The sequence below is a fragment of the Homo sapiens genome, chromosome 8, assembly GCF_000001405.40.
Source record: "Homo sapiens chromosome 8, GRCh38.p14 Primary Assembly".
Classification (NCBI taxonomy): Eukaryota; Metazoa; Chordata; class Mammalia; order Primates; family Hominidae; genus Homo; species Homo sapiens.
In genome coordinates, this window is record NC_000008.11 from 35581251 (window position 1) to 35603780 (window position 22530).

Here is a 22530-nt window from a genome sequence, read left to right on the forward strand (position 1 = left end):
ATAATCCAGCCTCTCTTTCGGTGGAGTCTTTCGCTCCAGGGCTTTGTTTGCTGTCTATATTCTGATCATGCTCAGCCTTAATGTGGCACCTTGTCTCCCAAATTCTTCATCTACTGCCTACCTGACACATCCACTTGGATATCCAGTAGGTGTCTCAAACTGGCTATGTCCCAAAAAGTACTTTTTTGGTTTTCACTCCATCAATACTGCTGCAGGGTGATGGTGGAGGAAGTGGGGATAGTTAATGGGTATAAAAATGTAGTTAAAGAATGAATAAGATTTAGTATTTGATAGCATAACAATGTGAACTATGGTGAACACTATTGTATATTTTAAAATAACTAAAAGAATGGAATTGGAATGTTCTTAACACAAAGAAATAATAAATGCTTGAGATGATGGGTATCCCAGTAAGCTGATGGGATTATTACACATTGTAAGCATGTATCAAAACATCACATGTACTCCATAAACATATGTACCTCTTATGTACCCATAATAATTAAAAACAAAAAAATTAAAAGAAAAAAAAAATCATTGCTGTAAATTTGTGTTTATTTCCCAGTGTTTCCTGATTCAGTAAAGGGACCACAGGGGCTCCTGACAAGACCCAGGGGTATCCTGGACTTTTCTTTCCTTCATTCACATCCTGTTCACCTAAAAGTCCAGCCACCTCTGCCTCCAAACTAGATCCTGAATTTGTCCTCTTCTCTCCACCTGATACAAACATTATTTATCTCCTATGATAATCTCTTTGCTGCTTCTGCTCTTGCTGCCTTGAAATGCATTCTCTACACAGCAACAAGAATGATTACTCTTGAAGAAAAATGCAAACCAGATCATGCTATTCCTATGGTTGAACACCATGACTTCCCAAACTTTGAACTTTTGGCCCCATAGGCATGAGCCCCCATGTCTTTCTTCCCTTCCCTGACTATACAGTGCTTCCAGTCACCAGTCATTGTGGCTCTTGCAGCCACAGTGATTTCTTTCTCAGATCCCCATGATAGCTCCTATTTCACCGCCATTGTTCATTCACTTTTCCTGGAAAGCATCTTCCTGATGCAGTGGTTGCATCTTTCTTGTCAGTTCTTCATAGTTTCATCTGCATTCTGCTGGGTCGTTTTATTTTTTAAAAAATATAGATTTGGCTACCCAAAAGGTGAAAAACTTTGAGCGAAAGTGGTTCCTTAGATCTTCCTGGTTCTGGCAAGATTGGCTTAAGGAAAGCAAAATGCAGCCTTCTTCCTTCCACTCAGTTGTTCTGTGAGGCCATGCTGGAGGTAGGAGGTGTTAGATATTTAGTGGCATATCCAGTGTTTACATGCTCATGACACTGGCCTCATCTTGTCCCGATTGACCTTCCTGGCCTCATGGAGATGTGGGATGAGGGAAGAACCAAAAAACTAATAATGTGATTAAATTGTTTTTTCTTGCTGCTGGGTTGGCTTTTCTTTTTGACTCTTTTCTAGCCCTTTGTTTTCCTTTCATCCCTCTCCAGGAGTGGTAGTGAATTACAATGAGGTGGTGAGTATTGAAAGCTTAAGGTTATTTTTAGGTCATTTCTTCTTAAACTTGTTGCTAGTTCACATCCCTCTAATTTCCTGTAGAAGACTCAGAGGTCACTCAGGAAAGTCAGAGATGATTCTCCACATCCAGGTGGTTTTTAAAACTTTGTCCCTTCAACCATGGGGTTCATTTTGCATTCCAGTGCTCAGCTGGATGCTGAGCTGCAGATAAGCTCTATTACTGCTTGTAGGAGTTGTAGAAATTAAGCTGTCTCAGAAAAGGGATACTTGACAACAGGATGAACAGCACAGGCTGGGTGCAGTGGCTCATGACTATAATCTCACCACTTTGGGAGGCTAAGGCAGGAAGATTACTTGAGGTCAGGAGTTAGAGACCAGCCTGGGCAACATAGTGAGACCCCATCTCTACAAAAACATTTAAAAATTAGCCAGGCTTGATGGCATGTGCCTGTAGTTCTAGCTTCTTGGGAGGCCGAGGCAGTAGTATTGCTTGAGCTCAGGAGTTTTAAGCTGTAGTTAGCTATGATCGCACCACTGCACTCCAACTTGGGTGACAGAGAGAGACCCAATCTCTAAAGTGTGTGTGTGTGTGCATGTGTGTGTGCCTGAGTGTGTGTATATGTATATATATGACCAGCATAGTCTTTCCATATCCTGCTTGGGAACTGAGCAGCCTAAGTGCAGTCAGTGCTTCCAGGCTCTGATCTTTTGTTTTTGTTTTCCATCAAAAACACTTTGATTTGGTGGCTATTTCTGCATTCACCTAGGACTCGATTTTCTCATTAGCACAGCAAGTAGAACAACAGTACTCTCAAATGTACAGAATGTGGAACTTGCAGATATTTTGTCCCTATAGCTTTTGGTGGAACATGATGTAAAGATACAAAATGTGAGTTATCAGTGTATTTTCCCTTGGTTTAATGCCTTGAAAACAAGGCAGCAGAGAATTTCTATATTTTTAGTTAATGGCTTTTCCTGTTGAAGATTGTTAATATCTCCTATTTACGTTAAACTTCAGCTGTCCTTTATGTATTGACACAACCAAATCAATGCAGTCAATATGCAGAAATTGCCTTCTATGGAACTTGGAGACAAAGCAAACAGCAATCCTTCTTTCTACAGGCATGGTTTCCTTATGGGGGGTTCCTACCCATTATTTTCTTGTCAAAGGAAATGGTGCTGAGTGGCTTCGTAGGCAGGGTTGATCATTCTGGTGCCACATGTGCCCACTGTTGTATCCTTGGGGCCAAGAATCTACCCCCAGGCAACATAGACACATGAATTGACTCAGTATGATAGATACACTTGAGAAGAATTTAAGTGATTATTGTCTTGTAGATTTTTGCTCTTCTGAGTATAACCTCATCCTGAAAGAGAATCAGCAGTTGGTAGTGACAATTGAAGGTAGAAGGCACAAAAAAAGAAGCAGGTGGCAGTGGCCCTGAGACACCAGCACCCATGAGTGAATACAATCGACGGAAAAGTTAAGACCATTAGGGCAATAGCGAGAGGGGATTGGTTAGGAAGGGCAGGAGTGACATGGCCATGTGTGTGCTAAGAGGATCATGAAATAACTCAGAGGAAAGAATTATACTGGGCCTGTTTTTTGTTTGTTTGTTTTGTTTTGTTTTGTTTTGTTTGTTTTGTTTTATAGAGACAGAATCTCACTCCATCTTTCAGACTGGAGTGAAGTGGCATGATTATAGCTCACTGTGGCTTCCAACTCCTGGGCCCACACGATTCTCCTGTCTCAGCCTCCCAAGTAGCTGGGACTACAGGCATGCGCCCCCAAGCCTATTTTGTTGTTGTTGTTGTTGTTTTCCTGGTTTTGTTTGTTTGTTTGTTTGTTTTTGAGAGATGAGGGTCTCACTGTGTGGCCCAAGCTGGTATCAAACTCCTGGCCTGAAGAGATCCTCCCACTTTGGCCTCCCCAAATCCTGGAATTACAAGCAAAAGACACCATGCGTGACCCTAACTGGATCTCTTTATCTCCTCGTTTGGCTATGTTATAGCCTTTGTAAGACACAGTTGTATTGTGTTTCTTATTCTTCAAGCCTGGTCTGTCTTGGTTTCCAGTCAGTCCTAAACTCATCGTTAAGATTTTTATCTTCCTAATTTTCAATAAATTCTCAATTTCTTTTTGGAATATGAATGATTTTTGTTTTTATAAACAAAAGAGGCTGAACACGATAGATCTTATTGTGTTGGGAGTAGCTCAATAGAGAATACTTTAAATTAGTTCTTAAAGCATTTTGGAAAACTACAACTGTCTCTACTCAGCATAATATGTCCCTACTGCAGGCACAACTATATCTATCACCTTGGCAACCCCACTGTTACCTGACAAGCTACACTACTTGTGAACACAGGATAATGATACACAGTGCTAGTTATAAAATGCTTTATTGATAACAGCAATTTACCAGCAGAGGGATTACAGAGCACAAGGGATCTCACAAAGGCCCAAAGTTATTTTATGGTCCTAGAAACAGCCTTGAGGAGCGTCAGCATGACAGGACCTTTTGCATCAGCCAAACACCCTGCTGTCCCAGTAAGCAGAGAATGCTCAGTGCCTGGCATCAAGAGAAGAGAGTGCATGGAGAGTTGTAGGGTGATTCAGTGGCGTCCGTCCAAAGGTGGCCTTTCTTCGTTATTGCTGTAAGATTTACTGAACAGGAGTTATGGTTGCAATATTCAGGAATTTCAGGAAGATGTCATATATATAATATATTATTGCAACCATAATATGTGTGTGTGTGTGTGTGTGTGTGTGTATATATGTACATATATATTCATTCTAGAAATATGGCAATAAACAGAACCAATGAAAAGTTTTGTGCTATGTGCAGATTCCTATGACTAAAATACAATTAAAAAAGAACATTTTAGAATTTGTAATTCACTAAACTTTGAAGGATATGATCTTTGTTGCTTCCTTCTTTGATGGACATTGTAGCAGTGAAACTTGGTACAATAAAATGAATATAATATATAATAATAAGGGGAATATATATATTATATTCACATATATATGTATATGTTCCAGATGTATAGGAATCTACACGTGGCATTGTCCTTTAATGCCAGTTATCACTCAGGGAGACACAGCTGAAATAAGAACTGGAAGATCTAACACAAAGACATGAAATGAAAGGTGGGAACAGCCTAATATCAATAATATGGGTCTGCCAGTCAAGAAATGTGCAGAGTCAGCCAGGCATGGTGGCTCACATCTGTAATCCCCGCACTTTGGGAGGCCGAGGCGGGTGGATCACCTGAGGTCAGGAGTTCGAGACCACCCTGGCCAACATGGAGAAACCCCCGTTTCTACTAAAAATACAAAAATTATCCAGGCATGGTGGCACATGCCTGTAATCCCAGCTACTCCAGAGGCTGAGACAAGACAATCACTTGAACCCGGGAAACAGCGGTTACAGTGAGCCAAGATTGCACCACTGCACTCCAGCCTAGGTGACAAAGTGAGACTCAAGAAAAGAAAAGAAATGTGCATAATACATAGATCTAAGCAAGGTAGAGGGTTTAAGCCACGCTTGCGGGAGGAGCGCAGATAATGTGCCAAATACAAAAGACTATCACAATGAGGAAAAAATTCACCTAACAGAAAGCCTTTTATGTGCCTTCCCTCGGGAACTGAAGCCAGTAACTGACTTCTTAGGTCATAACAACTCAGGGCTGGAGGATTGAGGTGGAACCACATGGAAGCACCAGGCCTTGACTTCCGGTTTGCTGGCATGCACCCATCCTGCATGTGAACCAGCCCTTTTATTACAATAAATACTCTGTATTTGGGTAAGTTACAATTTTCTTTTATGTCTGACAAATGGGGTTTGTTGTTCCTTCAGAGAAATATGGGTGGCAAAGATTCAAAGCCTATTTGAATACCAATGTAGCTGGACAACTAATGGGACATCATTCCATCCTCCTGGAATCTTAACAAATGGCTTTGACTATGACTATTAAAAAAATGACTATGATTTTTCACTGGCTGATTTGGTTTGAATGAGTAAATTATTTTTATTTCATTGCATTAACTGCCAGAACATTGAATGAGCCGATAACTCCCTGGTGTTGCTGAGCTGCAAAGAACTATTATTTGGAATTGAATTTTTATTGATTTTCTTGTGCTACAATGACTTTTCTAACATAGTAGCATGAAAGGAAAATGACAAAAAAGGCCAAATAGGGCATGGGGTGAGGAAGGGGAGGCTGCTGCTTCCCAAGGTCTAGCCCCAGATATACTACTTATTGGCAGGTACTGCTGACTCTGGATGATCCTGTTGCTGGTTATATGATTTACAGGTTAGCCAAGTACCCGGCTTTGTCACCTCTCCCTCCTCTTCACTTCTGCTGTCTTTGATTCCAGGCATTGTGGGTCTTGTTGGCATTCTGCTGTGGAACTGAACAGGGTGATGTGGTGAAGAAGGAACAGAACTAGACAGAGTGCTGCTCCAAATTGATCTGTGCTGATGATTGTACCATTCAAACACACACACACACACACACAATGTGTGTGTAAAGATGACAATGAATGAAAGTGTTATTTTAGCATCATTGCAGAGTCTATTGCACATATCTGTTCATGGTTTTGCTTTTCCTAGTCATCTTAACTGCCAGAGACTTCGTTGCATATTAGTTCATAGTCATCATTCAGATGAGTTGAAGTGGGAAATTACATTTGCTCATTCATTCATTCAACAAATATGTATTAAGTCACTATCTTCCAGCTGCCAGAAATATGGCAATAAACAGAACCAGTGAAAAGTTTTGCCCTCATGTGCAGATTCCCATGACTAAAATAAAATTAGAGAAGGGTATTTCAGAATTTGCAATTCTGAAAAGTTTGAAGGATATGATCTTCCTTGCTTCCTTCTTTGATAGACATCGTAGGAGTGAAACTTGGTACAATAAAATGAAACAAGATGTACTTCTCTTCTGGCTTCTGATACAGTTTGGTCTAGTACAGAGATGCTTGACAACTCAGAAGAAAGGGATCTTTTTTTGGACGTGATTTTTGGTGGCTATGAAAGTAATCCATATTCATTACAGAAATTTTGGAAAATGCAGAAACAGATAAAGGAGATAATTAATATACCAAATTTCATCCAGTGGAAAATCTTCAAAATGTTTAGTAATTTCTTTTTAGGGTTTTTCCTATAACTATAATAATATATATATATATATATATATATATATACTAATCCCACACCAGTTGCTATTTTCAGATGGTAAGGTTTTGTATTTTTAAACCACATTTAAAAATCTATCTTTATGCATATGTATGCAATTTGGTTCAGTTCCCTTATACAGAACAATGTGACAATGACTGCTTTTCTTCTTCCCATAGACCATGTGCACATGATTATGAGTGAGATCAGAGGGTGGAAATCTATTTATGCTCCACCCTCTCAATATACATGAATAGAAGACAAGTCTAATAAAAGAGTGTCCTCATGTGATATGAAAACTTAGGAAAGAGAGGTAGCTAGGCAAGCATTTTGCAGAGACTTGCAAGAAAAAAGTGAGAGAGCATATGTATATATGTTTAAAAGGAAAGAGATATGGTGGTTATGCTTTAAGCCAGTACAAGTCTGATTGAGACTATAAATGGCACCTGGTGTGTGTTTTTAGGCCTGTGAGATTCTCTGCCTCAGTTTAGATATTACTCTCTGAGAAACTTTTTTGCAATCACTAGATTTATGTGGGCCCCACTGCTACATTTACAGGGTAGTTCCCACTTCTCCATCTCATCACTCAAATGTATACCTCTTAATTGTTTGTTTAATAGCTAGTCACCCTGCTAGAGCATATGCTCTGGGAAGGCCAGGGCAGTCTGTGTCATGTTCAGTCAGGTACCCCATTGCCTGGCACAGTGTCCAGTGGGAGTCAACAGCGGGAGTGAGTGAAGAAGGCTATTGCACTTCTACACAACTCATGAAGGCAAATTAAGGATTACCTACCAGCTGGGTGCAGTGGCTCATGACTGTAATCCCAGCACTTTGGGAGGCCAAGGCAGGTGGCTCACATGAGGTCAGGAGTTCAAGACCAGCATGGCCAATAAGGCAAAACCCCGTCTCTACTAAAAATACAAAAAATTTAGCCAGACGTGGTGGCACACGCTTGTAATCCCAGCTACTCAGGAGGTTGAGGCAGGAGAATTGCTTGAATCTGGGAGGCAGAGGTTGCAGTGAGCTGAGATTGGGCCATTGCACTCCAGCCTGGGCGACAAGAGCAAGACTTCATCTCAAAAAAAAAAAAGGATTACCTGCCAAAACAGGTGTTTAATGCAGGTGTACTTACTTTGGAATTAGATGTATTTAATAATAATACAATTACTACATTTGGGAGAGAGTGATTTTTATTACTAACATGCATATGGTAGAGATCATGTACTCCACTCTATTTTATTTAGCACTTAATCTGAATATTTACCTGTAATCTTAAATATTTTGAGCTTATGATTTTTAATGGTTGCATAATGTTCCATTGTATGAATGCACCAAAAAATTAACCACCCCTATATTATTAAGTTATTAGCAAGTGTTCATCATTATAAATGATTATTTGAGCAATACCACTATGCATCCATTTTTCTGTGGAGCTCTCATCTTTTTTTTTTTTTTTTAGAAAACTTTAGAAGTAGAATTACTGAACCATATGAATGAATTCTTTTTAATAATAACTGTACTGAGATATAATCCACATACCATGCAGTTTACCTATTTAAAGTGTACAATTTGGTAGTTTTTAGTATACTCACAGAGTTGTATAACCATCATCAGGGTCAATTATAGAATATTTCCATCACAACATAAAAAACCCACCAAAACTACTTCTCTTTGCTGTCCTTCCCCATACTCCTTGCTCAGCTGCAGCCCTAGGTAACCACTCATCTATTTTCTGTCTCTATGGATTTACCTCTTCTGTATATTTCATATAAACGAATCATACAATAAGTGGACTTTTGTGAATGGCTTCTTTCACCTAGCATAGCATTTTTAAGATTCATCTATGTTGTAACGTGCATCAATATTCTTTCCTTTTTATTGCTAAACAGAATGCCATACTGTTCATCTATGAACTTTTGAAGTAACACATTACAGCTCGCTCTTCATGTATGCCCATTTTCACTTGTAGCAGTGTTTAATATTACTGTTTCTTATATGCTTGCTAACCTTGGGCATTATTACTTAAACAAAACTAAGCCTCTTGCAAGAGGAAGGACATATATTGATGGTTCCAAAATTTGACATTTCTTGAATAATTAGTGATTTGGTCCTTTTAGATATTTTTATTAGCCACTTGTATCTCTTCTTGTATAAATTTTGTTTCACGTCCCTTCGCCATTTTATTTGAGGGTATTGTTTTTATTTTGTTTCATAAGAGCTCTTTATATATTAAGGCTGTTAACCCTCTGCCCTTGATGTTGCTTATAATGTTTTAGATAAAAAAAAAATTTAATTTTGACAAAACACTACCTACCAATCAATCCCTTAAGGGATCTTTAATTTCAAGTCTGGAAAAGCCTTCCTTTTCCTAAGATCCAATGAATATTTTATTTTATTACTGCTGTAGTTTTATGTAAAAATATTTCTTATTAATATAGGATTTATTTTGGTATAAAGACATTAATCTAGTTTTATTTTTTTTCTCCAAAAGGGCAACTAGTCATCTTAATACCTTTTCCCACTTAATTTATGTGTCACTTTAATCATATCCTGCATTATTCTTTTTATTTAAGTGTCTCTGAAAAATGCACTGGTTTATAGTTAATTTGCCTGATTTATGACAAAGCTACCCCATTTTAATCATCAAGGCTTTAGGATCTAGTAATATACATGACCTCTATGAAGCAACCAGTGCTCTTAAACGGACTTTACATATACCAGGATTTAGTCTTAACAAAATGTATGTGTATTATTATCCTCATGTCACTGATGAGGAAGCTGAAGCAGAAACATTGAGGATACTTACTGAGTCAAGGTACGAGTAAGTGGTGGTCCCAAAATTCAAACAAAAACACAAGCTGCGGTCCCCACCTTCCTCACCGGTGACCACTCCTGCCTGGTGGGGTCCTGAGATCTATGATCCAGCAATTTTAAGTTCATACCATTGGTTATGCATATTTATGATATATTATGCATCTTTCTTCCCTGATCCCTTAGATAGTTATGTGAATATTTTTACTTATATTATAAAAAGTATTTAAGTTTAAAACTTTTAAGTGTTTTTATTGCCCATTGCCAGGTTTTTAAAACCGACAACTTCCAAATACTGAAATTATTGCATTGAGTTGTTTTTCATTGGTTAGTTTATTTTACAAGGTAATGTTTTCAGGAAGAGTATGTGGCTGCTTACAATCTCATGGTCCTATCATGTCTGACACTACATTGTTGTTAGGTTACTCATGAATACTAACTTGTTTGCAAATAAAAAATTAGCTCCTATGCTTTTTACAAAAAAAAAGCAAAAAATAAAAAAGAATTTGATTAAGTATACTCTGATACATAAAAAATATAGGAAATAAATTCCATATTCTTGTTCCATTATTCTTTTTGCTTGTTTTCTGCAAAAATACTTGTAAATTTACTTTTGCATTTTATTAATATTGTTAAAATTAACAGTTTCAACTAAGATCTATCTAGGGTTGTTTCTTTTTAAAGCTAGTTTGCCTCATATCCAATGAGTCATTTTGCAAACTCAAGTCCTTTTTTAGCTTAGAGAACTATTATTATTATTATTAAATTGATTTTTGTTTCTTTTCTTCAGCTTGTTGTGTCCTTTTAAAATTCCTATTATATGTAATGTATTCCTCTTTCTCCACTTTGTCATTCATTTCATCCTCCCTCTGACAATCTCATTGTCACTTTATCACTTTCCCCTTACCTCATTTACTCACCAGGTATTTATTAAGAACCTGCCCTGTATCAGATATTACAATAGGCACTGGGAATAGAGGAGTGAAAGTCTAGGACATAGAACCTGCTTTCATAGAACCGATGATAGAACAAGGAAAACAGATGTAGAACAAGTCACCATAAGCACACTAGTAGAGGACATTTCTTACTCTGTTACCAACACAGCAATCTTCGATGTCTATACCAACTGGTCTATCTATAAATTGAGCAGAAGGGTATGGAGCTCCTTTGCCAAGCCCAGGCTCCCTGCAATGTTCCTGCGGTTTCCCCTTTGCCTACTTAATCTTCCAATTTCATTATATTAATATTTTCTGTTAAACCAATTGGTGTACTTGCTGTTTTTCTGATGCATCCTGACTGATGCTGCCTGTCTTGTGGTTCAGTTTTCTGCAATATTCAATATGCTATTTACTGTCTCCATATTTATTTATATATTTCTAAATCAGCAGTTAGTTTCTTTCCTCATAGTGGCGGTTTCTTGATCTCAGATGTTATCCTATTTATAACTCTCTACTCTAGATTCTCAGTTGCTATTTCCTTTTGACTTTAAAGAACTAAAATTAGAAATTATCTAAAAATATGCCTCTTGCTTCATGTCTTTTTAGAGGAAGAAATCTATTTTCGGTTCTATGGTTTGTTTCCTTCTCTTGTAGTATAATTCTTGTTATATGGCTAAGGATGTTTTCCCTACTATTAGAAATTGGATCAGTTCCTGTCCGTTTCTTTCAAGGCTTGGAGCTCATATAGGTGATTAAAGTGTTCAGATTGCCTATTCAGAAACAAATTAGACTGGGTGCCCTATGGTGAGAATCATAGCTATACCTCTGTGTCTAAAGAGTTTATTTCCATCATGTCTACTATATTTAGTAGCTAACTTGAATTTGTTGGTAAGTTTACCCTCCTTAGGATTCAAAAGTTTGCCCTCCTTAGTAGTCAGTGTCCTGGCACCAGTATCAGGTACAAGCCAGAACTAGGACTCCATGATACTTGTGTTTCTCACTTGGTATAATGATGTCTGATCATTACAGCTCCCTAACAGGTCGGCGGCCTGTTACCACTGTTGGATCCAGATATATATAGTGCCCTAGTTGTTCCCTGTCCCCCAGTCATTGCCTTTAATCTTTGTTCTTTTTATGTACACCTTTGGGAGGGAAATGTGTGTCTTGCTAGGACTCTTCCAGTCATTTCAAATGTCATTTGGAAAGAGCAGCAGGTTGGATTGGCCTTTTCTTCTACCCAATCTTGCCTATGTGAGATCTATTAGAAGTTCCTTGAAGTTTCTAGTTTATGAGTAATACCGTTTCCTAGGTCCCACTGTCAGTAGTTTTTATACACACACACACACACACACACACACACACACACACACACAAATATGTAAATTATACAAACGTGTATAAATAGATATGTATGTATTTACTTACCTATTTTGCTGAGAGGCTGGAATGGGGAGAAAAAAAATGACATTTCTCCAGTTGTCTTTTCACCTGATAACTTAGTTAATGTAGTGGTGTGTAGATAGCCATAAACTAAGTATTTTTTTACATTTTCTATTTCTATTGATCAAAGAAAGGACACAAAAGTAGAATGTAAATAGAAATTTGCACTATATGTTTTCTATACTTTATCTGGCTGAATACAGATTAATTGGTGTCAAAATTGGGATGACCATTTAGCAGCACTGAACAAAACTTCCTTCAGAAAACAAAGCAATGAAGGAAAAGGAAAACAAAAATAACAAACAAACCAAACAAAAGCCGGACACAGTGGCTCATGCCTGTAATCCAAGCATTTCGGGAGGCCAAGGCAGGAGGATCGGAGGAGGAGTTGGAGACCAGACTGGGCAACAAAGCAAGAAGTGACAATCTGCCCATTTCTACAGAAAATTTTTTAAAAAGTAGCCATGTGTGATGTCACACACCTGTAGCCCTAGCTACTTGGGAAGCTGAGGTGGGAGGATAGCTTGAGCCTGGAAAGGTCAAGGTTACGGTGAGCTATGTTCACACCATTGCATTCCAGCCTGGGCGGGAGCAAGGCCTTATCTCCAAAACAAAACAAACAAACAAAAAAAACAGCTCCTTCATCAGCAAACTGACATCTTATATGTTAAAGTCACTCTTGCTCTATGATAGACTAATTTTGATATAGTTCTGATAAATAACCAAGTCATATGGAGGAAGGATTTTTGACCCAAAGATCCCTTGTGAGACAGCAGAGGAGAATTGTGTGGGAAGCGTGAGATTTTTCATTCTGGGTTTATTCACAGAACCTTCACAGTTTTGTTATCAGGTATGTGACCTTCATCATACTTGGAGTCAGAAGTCCTGAATCAAACGGGCTGTGGCAATTTACGGTTCCCGGATAGAGGGAAGCTGGCTTTAAAACTCAGGGGACAGCAGAGAAATGAGAGAATGGATCTTGTCACCCACCTGCAGTTCAAGTTGTTTTAAGATCTTTGCCTTATATATACTCATGAAGACCTCCGAATATGTAGCACTGCTACTAACAAAAGACATTGGTTGCCTCTGGGAGGGAAAGCATTAAGAGTAAAATTCGGAGGAAAGTGAATACATGGCTTGCCGTGCTTGTTATTCATTGAGTGTTTTTGACTTGCTAAAGGCAAGTTTAATGTATTTATACAATTTATAAAGATGTAACTGATTCTGGAGCTCTCCTCTTTACAGAGAACATATTTCATGTTATTGTAAGCACTGAAGAAAATTAAATCAATAAATTCACAGCCTGTAATTTGAGATACTCAATTTGAAGAAAAATGCATTGTCAGGGAGGGAGGGCAAAATCTTTTACATTGAGGAAGACTTGTAAACAACCTGTCTTTGCCCTACTATCCTGTGCTTTCAAGTGGCAGCAAGAATTACCCTCGTTCTGCAAGATTATCAAAGAGTTGTCATGACACCTCGAGAGAAGTAAAGGCCAACTCCCCACCTTTTTTTAATGAAGCGTGTGCTCAAGTGGAAAGCAATGCAAATGAAACTCTTCTGCACTGTCCATCTATGTCCTTTTCCCTGAGAAGGCTTTGCTGGTTAACACTCAGCCTGGGTGTCAGGAAGCTTAGTGCATTGTTCCCCATCACTGGCATCGATGCTCTCTGTGACCACTGGCAAGCGAATTAACCTCTGCAAGTGTCATCCTTCCATGTGTAAAAGGTTAATAGTACAGCTTGTTTGCAAAGTGCCTGGAGCCTTCCATGAAGGGCACTACCCAAATACCCAGCATTGCTGTTTGACTGGAGGGCGTTGTGTTTTGTAATTATATGTTTGGTTGGATAGGTTATAGATTTTGTTGTGGTTGAATGTTGCCCCTTCTCCCTGGTTACAAATAAAAAGACTAATAGGTAATCTCACTCTATTAGCATCTTCTAGAGCCCCCTAGAGGGTTAAGGGAATGGCAGAGGTTACAGATTAATAATGCACTCTTCAGTTAATAGAAAAAAATCATGTGCATCTCAACTGCATAATAGCTGTGGATGGCAATTTATTAGTCCAAGTGTTTCATCAGATGCTCAGCAGATAATGCTGGCAAAGACTCATGAAACAATGGGGTGTTCTGTGTTTTTTTTTCCTACTCTCCTAGTTATTTATTTCATCCTTCACATCAATATAGGACATCAGAAACTGTTTTGTCCAGGTTATTTCACATGCATTTATGAATATTTGGAAAAACGATTCTCTTATTCTAGAATTCCTGGAACAAGTGACTTATTTTTGTGTGTGTGTGTCTAGGTTGTGATATTAAGCTCACTTTTTTTGTACTTGGACCAAATTTGAATAACACTAGACTTGAAACAAAGTGTCACCTATCTCATGCTTCTTTGCAGATTTACGGAAAAACTTTGAACAAGACCCACAAGGAAGGGAAGTTCCCATTGAAGGCATGATTGTACTGCACTGCCGCCCACCAGAGGGAGTCCCTGCTGCCGAGGTAAGACAGGATCCTGGGACCAGTCACCGGGAGGAACCAGGCCTGTTCCCAAGAGGGAGGGCGGAGTCCTGTGTGGCTGGAAGGGAAGTAAAGGAGCCCATGTCTGGGATTCTTGTTGCCTGGGCTCAGTTGCTAAACACGGTGAAGAAATTGTCTAGGAAATAAGCTAGAAAGGAACTTGTCTCCCATCTACTTCTGTGTTTGCACAAGGCCCTTGGTAGGCAGCCTGGGTAGGATTTGACCTGTCTTCTTGGTTCTGGGGACCTTGAATCATGCAGGTGTCATTCTTTCTGTCCTCAGTCAAGATCTTCTGATATGCATATTGGCTTATGGAACAAATCTGAGCTGTAACAGGCAAACACACATGAAAAAGCCCATAGGAAAGGTCAGAAGACCCAGTCCCAGTGTCACTGGTGTTTGTTCATCCTTCACTTTTTTGTGGAACAAGCATTCATTTATTGAGTGTTTGTTATGTTTTCTGCACTGTGCAGGCATTAGGGATATAAAAAATGATGAAGCCACAGGCCTCTGATCTGTTATCCTTCCTTCACAGCGAGGTGTCTAGAATCCAGAGTCACAATGTTTTTTGCTTCTTGAATGTTTTCTAGAACTTCTACCTTACTATTCGAATATAATTGTCCCTGGTAATGCACTCTGGTCATAGGAAAGTCTTTCTAAATCTTTTATTCACAATGAAAAGATGACCCCTGATAGACTAGTAATATAGCTATTATTGGAGGAAAAATACTAAGAAGTATAAGGCATGCTTAATATAATGAAAAGTTTATAAATTTAGGCCCGTGAAGCCCGAAAATTTGAGAGAGGTCTCAGTTAATTTATAAAGTTTATTTTGCCAAGGTTGAGGATGCGTGCCCATGACACAGCCTCGGGAGGTCCTGACGACATGTGCCCAATGTGGTCAGAGCACAGTTTGGTTTTATACATTTTAGGGAGACATGAGACATCAATCAACATATGTAAGACAAACATTGGTTCAGGTCCAGGAAAAGCTGGACAACTGGAAGCAAAGGTGGGATAACTCCCCTGGAAGCAGGGAGGGGGCTTCCAGGTCACAGGTAGATAAGGGACAAATGGTTATATTCTTTTGAGTTTCTGATTAGCCTCTCCAAAGGATGCGATCAGATATGCATTTATCTCAGTGAGCAGAGGGGTGACTTTGAATTGAATGGGAGGCAGGTTGGCCCTAAGCGGTTCCCAGCTTGACTTTTCCCTTTAGCTTAGTGATTTGGGGGCCCCAAGGTTTATTTTCCTTTCACAGGCCTGAGTTCAGCAGCACATGGTCCAGGTTTGACTCTTCTATGGGAAGCTAGGAAACAGTGTTTAGAGCTATTGTTTATTCATGGAGAAGCAGATATACAAAGAAAAAGAAAAAACCAGGAGGCTTTGCTTCATATTTTAGTAAAATTGGGATTTTGTAATTGGCAGGACAAAAAAGGAGATAAAATAAAGGGGAATGAAAAAACACACATACTTGCATATTTAGAAAGCATGCTGGGTGGACACTATTCAAAGCTCAAATGGCTCACAGAAATGAAGTAAACGGACTTGAAAATTAAAGTGAACACTCCATGCATGATGTAAAATGATTAGAAAGGAAAATGCTTATTTAAAAATTTTTTATTGAATGTCAAACAAAAAAGATATTGATCTCCTTTTGCTGCCCTATTGTTTCCTACAAACAGCATGCCCTCCTTTCCTGAACAGGGTGTTAAGTGTCAGGCAAGGGACTGTATCCCTCTCATTTAGGACATCGCATGTGTTCCTAGGAGCCTAACAGAGGTATCAGCAGTTCTCTACATTCAGTGCCCATCTTTCAAAAATCCCAGTTTACAAATGTTTTATGCATAAAAATGTCTAGGCTCTGTAGTGCCAGCTGTGTGAGTGTCCCCTGGTACACCCATGTTTCCTTCTGGTTCTGTGCCGGGTCACTACCATTGACTTTGGCAGCAGCAGAGAGGGGTGCTAATGTTTTGATTAGCCATCAGCCTGTAGGAACTTCGCATACTCTAGGTCTCTATTGATCTACTTTTTTTTCAGATGGAAGATAACTTAGATATTTACTGGCATAACCTTTGCATTTTAGAAGCAGGAAAACTGATGCTTGTATTAGTGACCAACCAAAGGTCTTGCAGCCATTTAAGGGCTCTGTTCAAAATCCTGCAAAGCTACTCCAAAGCACTCCAGGTAAATGTCTATGTTCTTATAGTGCTTTACAAGATTCAACATAATCTGGCCTGGTGTGACCTTATATATTTTATTTGACTGTGCACTTGACTGCGCTACAGTCACCCTGGCCCCTTCAATCTCTCTCAGATGCACCAGCCATGCTCCTACCCCAGGGCCTTTGAATGTGCTGGCCTCTCTGCTGGAGGGCTCTTCCCCAGTTCTCACACTGCTTTGTCCCATCTTTCTTAAAGGCTTACTCAGATATCACTTGCTCAGTAAGGCCTGCTCTGTACACTCTGCAAATGTTGCAAATATTTGCTTCCCCCACTCCACCTTTTCCCTGCTTTATCCCAGCAATTTATCCTACTAGGTATATACTTTCTTTTTACCTGTTATCACAAGCATACTGTATTTACTTTGCTTATTTCTCTCTACCCCACTGAAACTTAAATTCAGTGAGGGAAATTTGTGCTTACTCTTCTTCATTGCTGTATCCTCAGAACATGAAGCAGTGCTGCTCAAGGCTATTTTCAGAAAGGTGAAAGATTTTTCACAAGTGTTGGCAAGGATGTGGAGAAAAGGAAACCACTGCACACTGTTGGTGGGAATGGAAATTGGTATAGCCATTATGGAAAACAGTATGGACGTTCCTCAGAATGTTAAAAGTAGAGCTACCACTTGATCCAGCAATTCCACTACTAGGTATATATACAAAGCAAATGAAATCAATATGTAGAAGAGATACCTGCACCCCCATGTTCATTGCAGCACTGTTCACAATAGCTCCATGGGTAAGATAGGGCATCAACCTAACTGTCCATCAATGGACAAATGAATTTTAAAAATGTGTTATGCACACACAATGGAATACTATTCAGCCTTTAAGAAGGAAATGTTGTCATTTGTGACAACATGGGTGAACCAAGCAGGCAGTATGTCAAGTGCAATAAGCCAGATACAGTAAGAAAAATACCACGGGATCTCACCTCTATGCAGAACCTAAAAAAGCTGAAGTTGGCCGGGTGCAATGGCTCATGCCTGTAATCCCAGCACTTTGGGAGGCCAAGGCGGGTGGATCGCCTGAGGTCAGGAGTTTGAGACCAGCCTGCCTAACATGATGAAACCCCATTTCTACTAAAAACACAAAAATTAGCCGGGTGTGGTGGCGCACATCTGTAGTCCCAGCTACTTGGGAGGCTGAGGCAGGAGAATTGTTTGAACCCGGGAGGTAGAGGTTGCAGTGAGCCAGGATCATGCCACTGCACTCCAGCCTAGGTGAGTGAGCAAGACTCTGTCTCAAAAAAAAAAAAAAAAAAAAAAAAAAAGCTGAAGTCACAGAACTAGAGTAGAATGGTGGTCACCACATGTTGCGGAGATGGGGAGAGGTTGAGGAGACATTGGTCAAAGGGTACAATATTTTGGTTAGAGAGGACTATGTTTATTGGTCTGTGGTACAATATGGTGACTATAGTTAATAACAATGTATTGTATTCTTTAAAAATGCTAAGAGTAGATTTTAAGTGTTTGCATCCCAAAAAGAACAATAAGTTTGTGATGTAATACATACATTATTTAGCCTTATTTAGCCATTCGACAGTACACACATATTTCAAAACATGTTATACATGAAAAATATATACAATTTGTTAGCTTAAAAAATAAATTTAAAAAACATGCTTCTCACATCCAGGTGTTCAATAAATACTTATTGAATATGAAGGGAAATTAGTCTGCTAATTATATTGATGAATATTTAAGGTTATCCCAGGGTTAGCCCTACACAAAATGTAAAATGCATTAGACAACATTTTGGCTTTGTTTTGTTTTGTCTTTCTCTCATGATTGGGTACTAACAGGTGAAGAAAACATTCCTACCTGCTTTTTTTCCATATATGCAAATATAAATTTATTAACTCAATCACTAGTCCTACAACTAAAGAAATAAAAATATATTTTCTTTTTTTATTATTATTATACTTTAAGTTTTAGGGTACATGTGCACAACGTGCAGGTTAGTTACATAAGTATACATGCGCCATGTTGGTGTGCTGCACCCATTAACTCGTCATTTAGCATTAGGTATATCTCCTAATACTATCCCTCCCTCCTCCCCCAACCCCACAACAGTCCCTGGTGTGTGATGTTCCCCTTCCTGTGTCCATGTGTTCTCATTGTTCAATTCCCACCTATGAGTGAGAACATGAGGTGTTTGGTTTTTTGTCCTTGGGATAGTTTGCTGAGAATGATGGTTTCCAGCTTCATCCATGTCCCTACAAAGGACATGAACTCATCATTTTTTATGGCTGCATAGTATTCCATGGTGTATATGAGCCACATTTTCTTAATCTAGTTTATCATTGTTGGACATTTGGGTTGGTTCCAAGTCTTTGCTATTGTGAATAGTGCCACAATAAACATACGTGCACATGTGTCTTTATAGCAGAATGATTTATAATCCTTTGGGTATATACCCAGTAATGGGATGGCTGGTTGAAATGGTATTTCTAGTTCTAGATCCCTGAGGAATTGCTGCACTGACTTCCACAGTGGTTGAATTAGTTTACAGTCTCACCAACAGTGTAAAACTGTTCCTATTTCTCCACATCCTCTCCAGCACCTGTTGTTTCCTGACTTTTTAATGATTGCCATTCTAACTGGCGTGAGATTCTAATTGTGGTTTTGATTTGCATTTCTCTGATGGCCAGTGATGATGAGCATTTTTTCGTGTGTCTTTTGGCTGCATAAATGTCTTCTTTTGAGAAGTGTCTGTTCATATCCTTCGCCCACTTTTTGATGGGGTTGTTTGTTTTTTTCTTGTAAATTTCTTTGAGTTCATTGTAGATTCTGGATATTAGCCCTTTGTCAGATGAGTAGGTTGCAAAAATTGTCTCCCATTCTGTAGGTTGCCTGTTCACTCTGATGGTGGTTTCTTTTGCTGTGCAGAAGCTCTTTAGTTTAATTAGATCCCATTTGTCAATTTTGTCTTTTGTTGCCATTGCTTTTGGTGTTTTAGACATGAAGACCTTGCCCATGCCTATGTCCTGAATGGTATTGCCTAGGTTTTCTTCTAGGGTTTTTATGGTTTTAGGTCTAACATTTAAGTCTTTAATCCATCTTGAATTAATTTTTGTATAAGGTGTAAGGAAGGGATCGAGTTTCAGCTTTCTACATATGGCTAGCCAGTTTTCCCAGCACCATTTATTAAATAGGGAATCCTATCCCTATTGCTTGTTTTTGTCAGGTTTGTCAAAGATCAGATAGTTGTAGATATGCGGCATTATGTCTGAGGGCTCCGTTCTGTTCCATTGTTCTATATCTCGGTTTTGGTACCAGTACCATGCTGTTTTGGTTACTGTAGCCTTGTAGTATAGTTTAAAGTCAGGTAGCATGATGCCTCCAACTTTGTTCTTTTGGCTTAGGATTGACTTGGCAATGTGGGCTCTTTTTTGGTTCCATATGAACTTTAAAGTAGTTTTTTCCAATTCTGTGAAGAAAGTCATTCCAATTCTGTGAAGAAAGGCAGTGAATCTATAAATTACCTTGGGCAGTATGGCCATTTTCATGATATTGATTCTTCTACCCATGAGCATGGAATGTTCTTCCATTTGTTTGTATCCTCTTTGATTTCATTGAGCAGTGGTTTGTAGTTCTCCATGAAGAGGTCCTTCACATCCCTTGTAAGTTGGATTCCTAGGTATTTTATTCTCTTTGAAGCAGTTGTGAATGGGAGTTCACTCATGATTTGGCTCTCTGTTTGTCTGTTATTGGTGTATAAGAATGCTTGTGATTTTTGCGCATTGATTTTGTATCCTGAGACTTTGCTGAAGTTGCTTATCAGCTTAAGGAGATTTTGGGCTGAGACGATGGGATTTTCTAAATATACAGTCATGTCATCTGCAAACAGGGACAATTTGACTTCCTCTTTTCCTAATTGAATGCCCTTTATTTCCTTCTCCTGCCTGATTGCCCTGGCCAGAACTTCCAACACTATGTTGAATAGGAGTGGTGAGAGGGCATCCCTGTCTTGTGCCAGATTTCAAAGGGAATGCTTCCAGTTTTTGTCCATTCAGTGTGATATTGGCTGTGGGTTCCTCATAGATAGCTCTTATTATTTTGAGATACGTCCCATCAATACCTAATTTATTGAGAGTTTTTAGCATGAAGGGTTATTGAATTTTGTCAAAGGCTTTTTCTGCATCTATTGAGATCATCATGTGGTTTTTGTCTTTGGTTCTGTTTATATGCTGGATTATGTTTATTGATTTTCGTATGTTGAACCAGTCTGGCATCCCAGGGATTAAGCCCACTTGATCATGGTGGATGAGCTTTTTGATGTGTTGCTGAGTTTGGTTTGCCCGTATTTTATTGAGAATTTTTGCATCAGTGTTCATCAAGGATATTGGTCTAAAATTCTCTTTTTTTGTTGTGTCTCTGCCAGGCTTTGGTATCAGGATGATGCTGGCCTCATAAAATGAGTTAGTGAGGATTCCCTCTTTTTTCTATTGATTGGAATAGTTTCAGAAGGAATGGGACCAGCTCCTCCTTGTACCTCTGGTAGAATTCGGCCATAAATCCATCTGGTCCTGGACTTTTTTTGGTTGGTAAGCTATTAATTATTGCCTCAATTTCAGAGCCTGTTATTGGTCTATTCAGAGATTCAACTTCTTCCTGGTTTAGCCTTGGGAGAGCGTATGTGTCGAGGAATTTATCCATTTCTTCTAGATTTTCTAGTTTATTTGCATAGAGGTGTTTATAGTATTCTCTGATGGCAGTTTGTATTTCTGTGGGATTGGTGGTGATATCCCCTTTGTCATTTTTTATTGCGTCTATTTGATTCTTCTCTTTTTTCTTCTTTATTAGTCTTGCTAGCAGTCTATCTATTTTTTTGTAATTGTACTTTAAGTTTTAGGGTACATGTGCACAATGTGCAGGTTAGTTACATATGTATACATGTGACATGCTGGTGCGCTGCACCCACTAACTCATCATCTAGCATTAGGTATATCTCCCAGTGCTATCCCTTCCCCCCTCCCCCCACCCCACAACAGTCCCCAGAGTGGGACGTTCCCCTTCCTGTGTCCATTTGTGCTCATTGTTCAGTTCCCATCTATGAGTGAGAATATGGGGTGTTTGGTTTTTTCAGAAAACCAGCTGCTGGATTCATTGATTTTTTTGAAGGGTTTTTTGTGTCTCTATTTCCTTCAGTTCTGCTCTGATCTTAGTTATTTCTTGCCTTCTGTTAGCTTTTGAATGTGTTTGCTCTTGCTTCTCTAGTTCTTTTAATTGTGATGTTAGCGTGTCAATTTTAGATCTTTCCTGCTTTCTCTTGTGGGCATTTAGTGCTATAAATTTCCCTCTACACACTGCTTTGAATGTGTCCCCAAGATTCTGGTATGTTATGTCTTTGTTCTCGGTTTCAAAGAACATCTTTATTTCTGTCTTCATTTCATTATGTACCCAGTAGTCATTCAGGAGCAGGTTGTTCAGTTTCCATGTAGTTGAGCAGTTTTGAGTGAGTTTCTTAATCCTGAGTTCTAGTTTGATTGCACTGTTATCTGAGAGACAGTTTGCTATAATTTCTGTTCTTTTACATTTGCTGAGGAGTGCTTTACTTCCAACTATGTGGTCAATTTTGGAATAGGTGTGGTGTGGTGCTGAAAAGAATGTATATTCTGTTGATTTGGGGTGGAGAGTTCTGTAGATGTCTATTAGGTCCACTTGGTGCAGAGCTGAGTTCAATTCCTGGGTATCCTTGTTGACTTTCTGTCTCGTTGATCTGTCTAATGTTGACAGTGGGGTGTTAAAGTCTCCCATTATTATTGTGTGGGAGTCTAAGTCTGTTTCTAGGCCACTAAGGACTTGCTTTATGAATCTGGGTGCTCCTGTATTGGGTGCATATATATTTAGGATAGTTAGTTCTTCTTGTTGAATTGATC

General features: G+C 39.0%; 1 protein-coding gene across 18 annotated transcripts in view, besides 1 other annotated feature; it reads left to right on the forward strand.

Annotated features, from left to right (window-relative positions):
- The window catches only part of UNC5D (unc-5 netrin receptor D), a 561066-nt gene that overhangs the window by 345776 nt on the left and 192760 nt on the right, over window positions 1-22530 (forward strand). For all 18 annotated transcript variants that reach the window (NM_001438417.1, NM_001438418.1, NM_080872.4 and 15 more), the window contains exon 4: window positions 14304-14407. In NM_001438417.1, the coding sequence (NP_001425346.1) occupies window positions 14304-14407 (104 nt within the window). The remainder of the gene's footprint in view (window positions 1-14303; window positions 14408-22530) is intronic.
- Window positions 2626-3130: an enhancer, noted in NCBI's record as "NANOG hESC enhancer chr8:35441394-35441898 (GRCh37/hg19 assembly coordinates)". NCBI's record gives its function as "activates a minimal SCP1, AML or CMV promoter by ChIP-STARR-seq in primed H9 embryonic stem cells {active_cell/tissue: H9 hESC(primed)}" and the evidence as "EXISTENCE:reporter gene assay evidence [ECO:0000049][PMID:30033119]".